Source organism: Homo sapiens, chromosome 10 (genome assembly GCF_000001405.40).
Source record: "Homo sapiens chromosome 10, GRCh38.p14 Primary Assembly".
NCBI lineage: Eukaryota > Metazoa > Chordata > Mammalia > Primates > Hominidae > Homo > Homo sapiens.
The window spans coordinates 116,762,335-116,774,339 of NC_000010.11; the positions used below are offsets into that span (position 1 = coordinate 116,762,335).

The window sequence follows — 12,005 nt, forward strand, 5'->3', positions numbered from 1 at the left end:
CCTGCTGCAAAGGTGTGTATGTTTTTCTTTTTTTGTAAAATACATACCTGATCATGGCTTGCCTCTATTTTAAATCTTGACTTCCTCTTCATCCCTTACAGGATGAAGTCACAATGGCCATGCTGTGGGTCCAGCATGACCCATGACCCTCCTACTCCACATCCTCTGCATCTCACATGCCTGCATTTCCACACTGCCTGGAAAACCCACTCTGGTCCTCTTTCTCGCCTTAGAAACTCCCCTTACTCTTTCTTTTTTTATTTTTTTGAGACAGAGTTTCGCTCTGTCACCCAGACTGGAGTGCAGTGGCACAGTCTCGGCTCACTACAACCTTCACCTCCTGGGTTCAAGCGATTCTTCTGCCTCAGTCTCCCCGCTAGCTGGGACTACAGGCACATGCCACTACGTCTGGCTGATTTTTGTATTTTTAGTAGAGATGGAGTTTCGCCATGTTGGCCAGGCTGGTCTCGAGCTCAAATGATCCACCTGCCTTAGCCTTCCAGAGTGCTGGGATTACAGGCATGAGCCACCATGCCTGGCCTTCCTCTTACTCTTTCAAAATTCAGTAGGGCATCCCTCCTCTGGGAAGTCTTCCCTGGTAATCATTTGCCCTCATCCTTATCTTGAACAAAACTCTCTTTTCCTCCTCTAAGGCAGTTCTCTCTTTACACTCAGCAATGACTTGGGTATGTCTGTACCTGACACTCAGCTGCCACCATCTTAAGGACAGTAGCTACATCATGGTCACCTCTAGCACAGCTCCAGACACATGGTAAATGCATAAAGAAGTTTTGTTGCTGATGGTGACAGAGCTGACAGGGTATGAAAAGATATACCCTGGTGTTGGTAGGAGGCAGCCCAACTTAGTATTCAACTTGAACTCAGGCATGGTGGAAACTTGCTGCTTCTGAATGGATCTGGCTTTGCTTTTCTATCTCAATGTACATATGGGCTAGGAGAAGCCAAATGATCTTTTAGCTAATATTTTAAAATAAAATGTTTTCAAATGACACCGGTGAAACACGATCATTTTCAAGCAATAATAACTGACAAGAAATGTAAAGAAAAATCTCTTGTGAAAAACCCCTACCCCCAGATAATACTGCTCACATTCTGATAGTAGCCTCTGCAGACCTCTTTCTTCTGCATACATCGCTTCTGTTTGTATAGTGCGATATGATCCAGTCTCTCCATGCATACAGGGCAGGTCCCCAGCTTCCCAGAATCTGGGTGGAACTGCCCCCAGCAGGGTGGGGCCAGGGGACCCTCTATTTGAGGCCTTGGCCCTGGGCAAAGACATAGCTGGCTCCAGTCCCAACTTGGGGCCATCTCCAGGCAGACACAAAGGGGTCATTTTTCTCTCCCTCATGAACAAAATGTGCTCTGGACTAGGAGGTTTTTTTGGGTTACAAGATTCAACTGAATTGGAAAAGATCATCTGAGGTTTCTAAGAAAGTCAGATTTAAGGACAGCATAGACTGAAGCTTTATTTTTGTCCAAAATAATCATAAATTATGAAAGCCACTGGTTGGAAGCTGGGGCACAGCAGGCTTTTGTGGAGAAAGAAAAAGCATGAGTAAAATGTAGACACTGATAGGACCATGGCGTTATTGGGGGGGCGGTCGGCAATGAGCCTCTCTCACTTCCCTGCAACCTTTGGGGGGGTGTTCCAGGAAGTCTATGACTGGAGGCTACAAATGAGTTAATGTCAGGATTTATCCAGTGCCAGGGCTGAGTCTCATGGGACCTCCCCTGCCTCCTCATGGGACCCTCTATTACAGCTCCCAAGGCAGTGGTGAATTTCCTTCTAACTCACTATGGAAAAAGTCTTTCCACTGGCACTACTTTTATGGAAGCCATAGCTGCATGTATTATAGATTTATACTTTGATCCAGCAACCCCATATCTAGGAATCTACCTACAAATACAAACCAACAATGTGAAAGGTTATTATCGTAGGCTGAATTGTGATTGCAAAATAGTGGAAACAACATAAATGATCATTCATAGACAAGTTGAAAATACAATATGGTAGATTCACTCAATGAAATTCTATGCAGTCATAGAAATAAATGAAGAAAAGCCCTATCAATAGACATGGAGCAATTTCTAGGACATGTTAAGAAAAACAAGCAAAATACAAAAGACTACATAAAGAGAGTATTCTATGTTTTGTGTTAAAAAGGAGTGGGGAAATATACATATATATTTATGTTTAGTTTTGCAAAAACAAACACAACAGCCATACACTAGAAACTAACAAAATGGAGGGGGCAGAGTGAAAGGGATGGGGATGATGGTGAGACATCTTATGATGTCTTTTTATAGTTTTTATATCTTTTTATACAGTTTTGACTTGGAGTGCTTTATATACCCGAAAATCAATTTAAATCCAAAGGGTTTTTAAAGAGCAAACCCTATATTTGACATAAATAGAAACAAATAAACCTTACTATCCATCATATGAGTAGTAGAGATACAATATAGCCACACAAAAAAATCATTAATTCAAGTAATTTTGGATGTAGTACTCTAACTGTGTATCTTTAATATACATTTTCTAATGATAAAAAGAACACAAAGAAATCTTGAACTTCATTTAGCAGGCTTGTTGGGGATAGAAGTATTGGTGCTGTAATTCTGAAACTATTCTTTTGTGTAGTGAAGGATTGAATAAATGAGTAAAGATGTGATGTGGGGACCAGTGTTTTGACTTTGGAGAGGAGAGATGCAAACATAGAATGGGGAAAGGTGAGGTAAATGCATGCTACTGGGTACATCTGTATGTACTCATGGTTTTGAGAACAGCTTAGTTCTGTTCTCTGGAAAGACCTAGAAGCAATGACACTCCAGTGACAATGAGCACACCTAGTGCCCAGGTTTTGGTTTCTAAATACCATTCCCCACCCAAAAGCACATGGGCTCCTTGGTGATATAGCTGATTCCAGGACTAGGGTAGGAAAAGTCCAAATTAAACCTGAAACATCAAAAAAAATTTAAATTAAATAAGTAAAATAAAACCTGAAACATCATATAGTGGCAGAAGGGCTGAAAGACCAAGGAGGCAATACTAAAAACACAGAAAGGCCAGCAAGAAGGAGCTCCCACTGGCCAAATCCGGGACCATAGGAGGGGGAAAAAGGAATAATGGTAGTAATTTATTACAATAAACTGAATTTTTAAAATAGACCTAGAAGTCCATAATCATATTAAAAATAAAAGATATTTACAGAAAGAGGGCAGAAAGGAAGATTTTTAGAGGTACATGAGTGTTGATTGCACTATTCTTATAATTCCTCTGTAGGTTTGAGAACTTTCAGGATTAAAAGTTGAAGGAAAGAAGACACACACGTGTGGGGCAGGACACACCCGTTAGATGCTGAGAAACCTGCCATAGCCTGCTGTTCTCGAGGGTGGTGATGGCGCCCCCTAGGGAGGGTTTACAATGAAATGCCTCTCAGTTCTTCACCCAGTGTTCCCAGTCTTGCCTTAGCGTAGACAAACACAGACAAACATATTCTTTCCACTTTTTGCCCAACAGGAACATACCATATGCTGTTCTGCACCTTGGTTTTTCCTCTTTGCAACCTGGTACTTGGACATTGCTTCATAGCTGTGGAACTGCTGCATTCCTCTCTGCAGCCGCTTGTGGCTCCAACGCACGGATGAGCCACCCTTCATGCAACCAGGTCCTGTTTGACGGCACACACTCCCTCTCACCATTCGGCCACATTCACCTTCCCACCTTTCCTGCTCTCCACCTCCTCTGCCCCCTCTCCTCCCTTGTCCACCTTCAGTGCTGAGTGTGATCATGAGTAGCTGCCCTGACACTGGGGCATGAACAATTCATCCAGTTTTCCCTGAGACTTTTTCACTTTGGACACTGAAAGTCCTGGGTCCTAGGCTGCTGGTTAGGATGACCAATTCATCCCGGTTTGTCCAGGACTGCCCTGGTTGAAAAACTGAAATTCTTGCAACCCGAGAACTCCCTCAGTCCTGGGCCAACAGGGACAGGTGGTCGCCCTACCTGGGAGCAAAGTGGCTACTGGCTTGGAGAGGAGCCAAAATGTGTTCCTGGAGGACTTTACTCACTTTCAAAAGCTCCTCTGGATGCCCCTACCCAGCTCCCACCTCCAACTTAACGTCCTGTAAGAAAGGGACACTTCTGCCCATCTGCATCTTCAGACAAAGCTGCCCCACAGCCCTCACAGAGACTGCCTGGTCCCCTTCTTGGAGGCATTCAGAAGAAAGTTCATTGCTCCCTCAGTGGTTTTAACTGCCTGGAAATGACATTAAAAATTAACCCAGATTGTCATTTCCTCCCCACAATTCAATCAGCTTGGCATGGCTCATGGGAATCCCATTCTTTTAATCATGTTTCTCTTCAAACTCACTCTTGCTAGGAGTAAGGAATGCCATTCACTCATCTTTGGTTCAAATAATCTTTTACCTACTCTGGCCGCATCATTTAATAACTAACAATTTTGTTGAGACATTTCCTTTAAATAAAATGCTAGGAACTTAAAAAGAAAAAGCTCACACTGGCACCCGTAGGGCCCCCAGGGAACTGCTGGGTTTGCGTCCACCAGTCGACCCCAAAAAGATCCATCAGGCTGACAGCCAAGCCCATCGCGGAGGGGAAGTGGAGACGCAGTCCCCAGGGAACTGAGGAGGGAACGCCTGCTGGGGTCTGCCCCTGCAGTTCATGACCCTGAGATGGGCTAGGGTGGGGAGTGGAGGGCTGCAGGCCTCTGGGGGCTAGAGCGGGGGCACCTGATCTGGTTCTAGCAGGTTCCTGATGAGTCTGCTTCACAGTGTCTCCTCTCCTCATTGGCCTGGAGGAAACAGTGGCCCTGGGGAACGAGGTCCTGAAAAGAGGCAGCAAAGAGGCAACCAGAGGACAAGAGCCTGGGCCACGGAGACTGGAAGAGGCCAGAGGGCTGCCTGGAAGAAGGCTCATCCACTGATTTATTCTCCTTGGCTCAGGCACTGTGTTCATCCCCCTTCCTCCCATCCTGCACCCCTCCCCCACCAGTGACGGTGCAGACAAGCAGCACTGTCCCTGCAGAGCTAAGGCAGAGCAGACAGGAGAGGGTCATCCACCCCAGCTGCTGGGTGGAGGCTTGGCCCTGGGGCCTCGGGAGCCTCCCCAACATTATCTCCCGGCCCCTCCCTTCTCTGCTCCCACTAGCCTCAGCCAGCAAGGCCAGCCCCACATTCCTGCTGCAAACAGACTGGGTGGGGCACAGTGAGTTTTTAATTTGTCCACAGAAATCCAAAACAAGGGAGGGGAGGTTGTTGGTTAACTCTGCACCATCACCAGTGCTTTAAGCCTCTTTGGCTCAGAACCCAGACTCAGAAGTCCAGGCCACAAGGGGGCTTTAACCAAAATCCCAGGCAAGAGACCCCTTTGCTTCTGATGCCGTGTGTGGCTTCATGACAGCATGATGCCATCTGGGCTAATTTACCAAGGGCTCTGTGAACTCTGTCTCTCGGCACTATGTTCCCTAATTGCAGCCTCTTTCAAAAGGGAGTAACTACCTCTTCTAATCACGTGTACCCCCAGTATCTCAGAGGCAGGGCTACAAAAACAGCCTTAAAAAGTTTGGCAGTTCCTCAAAAAGTTAAACATAGAATTATCAAATGGCCCCCCAAGTCCACTCCTAGGTATATATCCAAGAGAACCAAAAATCTAAGTTTACACAGTAACGTGGACACAAGTGTTCACAGCAGCACTGTTCACAACAGCCAAAAAGTAGAAACAACCCAAGCATCCATCCACGGGTGAATGGATCAAATGTGTTCTCTCCATACAGTAGAACATTATTCAGCCATAAAAAAGAATAGAGTACTGATATATGCTACGACATGAATGAACCTTGAAAACATTACGCTAAGTGAAAGAAGCCAGATGCAAAAGACCACATACTGTTTGATTCCATTTATATGAAATGCCTGGAGTAGGCAAATCCATAGAGACAGAAAGCAGATTAGTGCTTGCCAGGGGCTGTGGGGAGGGGGAATAGGAGCAACTGCTAATAGGTACAGGGTTTCTCTTTGGGGTGATGAAAATGTTCTGAATTAGACAATGGTGATGCTTGCACAACACAGTGAATATCCAAAACCCACTGACTTGTACACTTTAAAATGGTAAATTTTATGTTATGTAAATGTCTCAATTTATTTGACCCTGTCTCAGAATAAATATATAGCCTCCACTCCCGGCTGGAGAGGAGTGGTGCAATCATGGCTCACTGCAACCTCGAACTCCTGGGCTCAAGTGAACCTCCTGTCTCAGCTTCTTGAGTAGCTGGGACTACAGGAGCCTGGCTAATTCTTTTATTTTTGTAGAGTTGGGGGCAGTCTCACTATGTTGCAGAGACTGGTCTTGAACTGCTGGCCTCAAGTCATCCTCCCACCTCAGCCTCCCTAAGTGCTGGGATTACAGGTGTGAGCCACTTAGCCCGGCTCAATTATTTTTTTTTAAAGCAGCCTGCTGACATCACCCTGACTTTGGCCTTAGCACAGCCCCCTATTGCAGGGCCAGCTTGTTCCTCTGAGTTATCTTTAACTCCAAGTCTCTGCTTCCTGGGACTGCCCTGCTGTGTGTCACCCTCTGCTTCCTGTGAGCACACTCTCTCATCCACACTGGCCTGACCTGTAGGACTGGACGTTGTGATTCTTGCCCGCTGCAGACTTTCAAAGCAGGTGTGGAAAGTGACATCCAGCACAGCACAGTGAGACACAAACATCGGACCATTCAATACCTCTGTCCTTAGAAGTCCCCTGGCCCAGCCACCACTAGGATCTTCTGACTGACCAATCATCACTTGACCTCCCCTTCCTCCAGCCACAAACCTTCCTGTGAGGTCACTTGGACTCTATGCTGGACCTAGAGAGCCCCCTCTTAGCAATCAGACAAGACTAAGGTGTGGGCTTGGTGGGGTCTTCTTAAGGAATGCTTTCCCCACCCCTTGCTATGGTGTCATCACCAGACCCTCATTCCAGCCAAGGAAACAAAGGCTTAGAGAAAGTCAAGCACCCAGCTGCCAAGCAGTGGGGTTGGCTCTCCAATGTAGACCCCTATGGTCTCCCATTTTGAGGGCCAGGACTTGGGGTGAAAGGTCCCCACCTTGAGGGCTGGGGCCCGGGGTGGCGAAAGCACCAGGATGTTGCTCTCCTGGGCTGTGTCTTCCTGTCTGGCTCTCAATTTTACTGGAATGATGCCACCACCCCCATCCCTTTCCCTGACATTGGCTCGGCCCAGGGCAGCTGCAGGATCGATTCCCCGTCTAAGTGCAGGACTTAGAGCACTTCATGGCTCAGAAACATGCTAATTAGGTTTAGGCAATAGAGCTCAATAAATTAGAGCAAAACAGCTATTGATTCAGTTATCAACTCTCCTGGAGATGCACGAAGCAGCGCTCCAAAGACAACAGGGAGAGAAACACACAAAACCCTTCTGAAGCCCCTTTACTCTCCACAGGTTGGGTTTCCATAGTTGCTTGGGGTGTTCGGAAGAAAATGTAGGCTGAAGAAGACATTTGCTCAAGTGCAGGCCTCGGCTCCTTGTGCTTAAAATTCTTTCCGCCTTCCAGCTGGGTATGCTCGCTTGAGAGTCAGCTCTCCAGGGAAGGCTGCAAGAAGCGATGACGCCACAGAGCTCCAAGGTCATTTGGGCCATTCCTCTGACTCAGAGCAGAATGAGGCAAGTAAGGAGAGAGTTTGTCCTTGGGGCAGGGTGCTGAACATGCCGTCATAGTTCCATTGATCCTCAGAAGAGCCTGATGGAGGAGGTCTTATGTGAGCCCTTGTGGTGGATGCAAAAACCAAGACTCAGAGAGGGCGGTGACTTGCCATGGTCACACAGACACCAAAAACAGGGCAGGGGTCTCTGGCTCTTGAATGATTACCAAGAGTTTGGCTTATGCGGCCCCTGTGAGAGCTGCTGGTGAAGTTCAAAGGAAGCCCTCAGATGAAAGGCTTCCTGCAGACCCGCCAGTACAGACCGAAGGGGCAGATGTGGGGAGGTCCCGCAGAGGCCACGCTGTGTGCTTGTGAAGGGGCGGATCAGAGGCTCAGCGGACACCCAGCACCTGGTGGGGCCAGTCCGATGCCCTCCTTGGGTCTGGGAATGTGTGAGATGCTCAGGGAAGGATGCAGCATGTTTCAGGATGATAGCTCAAAGCCAGGTGGCACAGGGGGCGGCAGGAAATGGACCCATGAGGCAGCAAGGTGGGGTGGGGGTGAGGGAGGACTGAGGCAAGGTGGTAGGAGGCCAGTGGCAGAGACGCCGAGCTCCAGCTGGAGTGCTAGAGTCTGCTCTTCATAAAGGTCCATGGCTGCCGGGTTGTCCCCACCATCTCTCCTCCAACCTCCTGTGCACTGTTCCCATAAGCCCCTCCCCAGGTGCTCGGGACAGCCCTCTGCTCTTGGAAACAAGGGGCCCAGCCTCCCCTCACCAACCTCAACTTTCTGTGAATTTGCTTTAAACATGGAAGCCTCAAATGCCTGAAAGCCTTTTCTAAGGATGCCTTCGGGTCACTTAACAAGCCTCTCTTGGGGGAGATTTTTACTTTTAAAAGGAAGAATGACTTCTTTTGGCTGCTGCGGGCTGTGTGTGCTGGGGGAGGGGGCAGTGGACTGCAGGGTTGGAGTGGGGCTGTGGGCTGTGTGTGCTGGGGGAGGGGGCAGTGGACTGCAGGGTTGGGGTGGGGCATTCTCAAGTGTGCTCAAGGGGCCTCAGTTTGCAAACCCTGGACTGTGGCTCCCGAGTCTGTAGATGGAGACAGAGGTGGGCGCAGGCTCAGAGCAACCCAGAGATGCCCCAAGTCCACGGTTCAAAGGCCCTGCCCATTTTGCCTCCAACATAGGGCCTGACTGGGCTGCCCCAGTGACACGCTCTGAAGAGGCACATTCACAGGCGAGATAAAACAAGGACACTCGCTGGGAGCTGGGGCCATCAGCAGCCGCTGGCTGTGGAGGCCACACAGAGGGGAGGGGAGGACAGGGGCCCTGACGAGATACTGGGGCCAGAGGCCAAAACTGAAAACCTAGGGGTGAGCCCACCAGCAAAGCCAGTGACAGGCCTGGGTGAAGGGTCACCCTCCTCCGGGAGCTGAAATGGGAACTGAGGAAGGAAGAGAAGCCACTGGAATATTTTAAGCAACGAAAGAGGCCAGGGCAGAGCCTGGGTCTGAATCATTTCCAGGGCCTAGACAGAGGGCCCCCGGGAGGATGTTTCCGGAATGAATACATCCAAAAGGATGGGACGGCAATTGCGAAATTCCATCATGGGAAATCCCTGCCTGCCAGCATGTTTACCAGGAGCCCAGGGACGGGGTGGATGAGAGGCAGTCCCTGCAGTTTCTCTCTGCAGTGGATGGAGGTTTCTCTCCCAAACAAGGGGCGCTTGCTTGTCAACCTACAAGGGGCCCAGATAGAAAGGCAGAAAAGGGGACAATGGTGAGAGTGCACCCCCAAGGTGCCTTGGGTTCCAGAAGCATGGAGTTGGGAGAACTGCTGGGGGCGGTGGGGAGGTGGCATCCTCTGGGGCCTATATTGATGCCAACTCCAGTCCAGGCAGGCTGCTCCAGCAGCTGTGCTGTCTCAGCCACGGCCACACCTGAACAGTCCCCACCGTATTTCCCATCTCCACATTTCCAGGTGAGCTACACTCAATAAGCTTAACATGGGAGAGGGCAGAGGCAGGACGAGGCTGGATGCCAGGCCATTCCCTGAGATGACAGCACAGGACGGGAGCGGGGGTAGTGGCGAGGATGATGGTGTTCCCGCCTTGGGACACTAAATGACCTGGGTGTCTCTGGGACATGCAAGTGGAGATGTCCAGATAAGGCTGGATCACGTGGGTTCAGGGATCATCAGTGCTGGGGCAGGGGGTACTGTGAAGCCATTGAGTGGAGGAGCTGATCTTGGATCCTGTGTACAGGTGAAGAGAGGAGATCCCAGGACAGACCCCCAGAGCCCCAGAGCCCCAACACTTGGCAGAAGAAGAGGATCTCAGACTCTACCCCACTTGCTCCTGGGACCAGCAGGGCTGGCTCTGCTGGCAGAAAATGCTGAGCAGACTCTGTGGAGCTGCATGCCAGGCCCAAACTCAGAGCTCTGTCTCCAGGAAGATGCTTTCAGGGAATATTTGTAACAGCCCTTTTGCAGATGCTGAAACTGAGACCCAGAGAAGTTAAATCACAACTTGAAGGCACGAGAGCAAATGAGGCCCGAAGCTGTCTGGCTCCAAAGTTCCAAGTTTTATCCCTGGGCCCTATCTCTGCTCTAGGAAAGCCTGTGGTTCTTCTTTTTCTTTTCCTTTCTATCTTTATTTTATTTATTTGTTTATTTATTTATTTATTTATTTGGAGACAGGGTCTCCCTCTCTATTGCCTAGGCTGGAGTGCAGTGGTGTGATCACGGCTCACTGCAGCCTCAACCTCCTGGGCTCAAGCGATCCTCCCAACTTAGGCTCCTAAGTAGCTGGGACTGCAGGCACACACCACCACATCTGGCTGATTATTATTATTATTATTATTTGTAAAGACAGAGTCTCACTATGCTGCCTAGGCTGGTCTTGAACTCCTAGTCTCAAGCAATTCTCCCACCTTGGCCTCCCAAAGTGCTGGTATTAACAGGCATGAGCCACTGCACCTGGCCACCTGTGGTTCTTCTGAGAAGGGGCTCATTCAGTCAGGACCGGGGACCCTAGCTAGACTAAAAGTCTGGGTGAGCCAGGGGACTTCCAAACAACTGCAGCCCCAGCTGCTCCCGTTGACTCCCCCTGGGCCCTCCTTCCTCCCACTCCTTTTCCTCTGCACAGCAGGCAAGGTCCCAGGGAGGCAAGAGCAGGCCCAGGTGGGCCCAGGCATTTCCCCAGCCCCTCCAGAGGCCCAGGATGAACTGGCCTGGGATGAGGCCCTGCTAATGAGCAAAGGCTTCAGTCCACTGAGCAGTACATGGTAGCACAGAAGAAGGCCTGGTACACCAACAGCAAATTGCATTTCCTTCTCAGAACCCTCAGCTCTGGTCTGGTACCCCCAGGCAACAACAGCCTAGCGGGCAGACAGGACAGGAGGCCTGGGAGCTGTGCGTCACTCAAAGCCAGACTGGAGAGTGACAATTGCCTTCGCAGCTCCCAGCGGGTTTCGAGAAGGTAACATGACCAGGGAGCAGTTCTGCCTCCCTTCTGTCACCTCTGAACCTCACCTTGGCCCATGGCCCCTCAACCTTGACTGATGCTAAGTAAGCAGTCTCCTCCTCCTTATTCCCTGGCCAACCTGCCCAGCTCACAGTGGGGGCCTCAGCCAAGGGTTGTCAACTGCAGCCTGAGAAAGTCTTTCTCACTGACTTGCCCCAAGAAGGGATTCCACTCAGCTGACAATTATGAAGCTCTGGCTGGTCCCTGGTCCTGGGCAGGGGCAAAGCTGCAAAACAGCCCACAGGGAGCTCACAGTGCCTGTGGTAATGATGATGACGATGATGGTGATGATGCTGACAATGGTCATTATCATGGTGACGGGGTGGAGGACTTGGAGCCAGGAGACCTAATTACAAATGATAACTATGCCACCATTCAGCTGAATGACCTTGGGTAGGTTACTTACCCTCTTTGGTCTTGAGTGGCATTCACTATGACATGGGGTGGGGGAACCTGCTCTGTGGCAAGGGCTTTTTTTTTTTTTGAGACGGAGTCTCGCTCTGTCCCCCAGGCTGGAGTGCAGTGGCGGGATCTCTGCTCACTGCAAGCTCCGCCTCCCGGGTTCACGCCATTCTCCTGCCTCAGCCTCCCAAGTAGCTGGGACTACAGGCGCCCGCCACTACGCCCGGCTAATTTTTTGTATTTTTAGTAGAGACGGGGTTTCACCGTTTTAGCCGGGATGGTCTCGATCTCCTGACCTCGTGATCCGCCCGCCTCGGCCTCCCAAAGTGCTGGGATTACAGGCGTGAGCCACCGCGCCCGGCCGGCAAGGGCTTTTTTGAAATATTTGCCATAG

General features: G+C 49.8%; 1 protein-coding gene and 1 long non-coding RNA gene across 4 annotated transcripts in view, besides 1 other annotated feature; both read right to left on the reverse strand.

The window, feature by feature from the left end:
- HSPA12A (heat shock protein family A (Hsp70) member 12A) overlaps nt 1–12,005 on the reverse strand; it is a 179,556-nt gene that overhangs the window by 91,143 nt on the left and 76,408 nt on the right. The window lies entirely within an intron of this gene.
- Nucleotides 4,485–5,050: an enhancer, noted in NCBI's record as "H3K4me1 hESC enhancer chr10:118526330-118526895 (GRCh37/hg19 assembly coordinates)". NCBI's record gives its function as "activates a minimal SCP1, AML or CMV promoter by ChIP-STARR-seq in primed H9 embryonic stem cells {active_cell/tissue: H9 hESC(primed)}" and the evidence as "EXISTENCE:reporter gene assay evidence [ECO:0000049][PMID:30033119]".
- On the reverse strand, nt 6,471–11,666 carry LOC105378498 (uncharacterized). Its single transcript, XR_946339.2, has 3 exons — nt 11,218–11,666; nt 10,032–10,185; nt 6,471–7,810 (listed from the first exon to the last, which is right to left on the reverse strand). It is a non-coding gene; the product is annotated as an uncharacterized LOC105378498 (long non-coding RNA).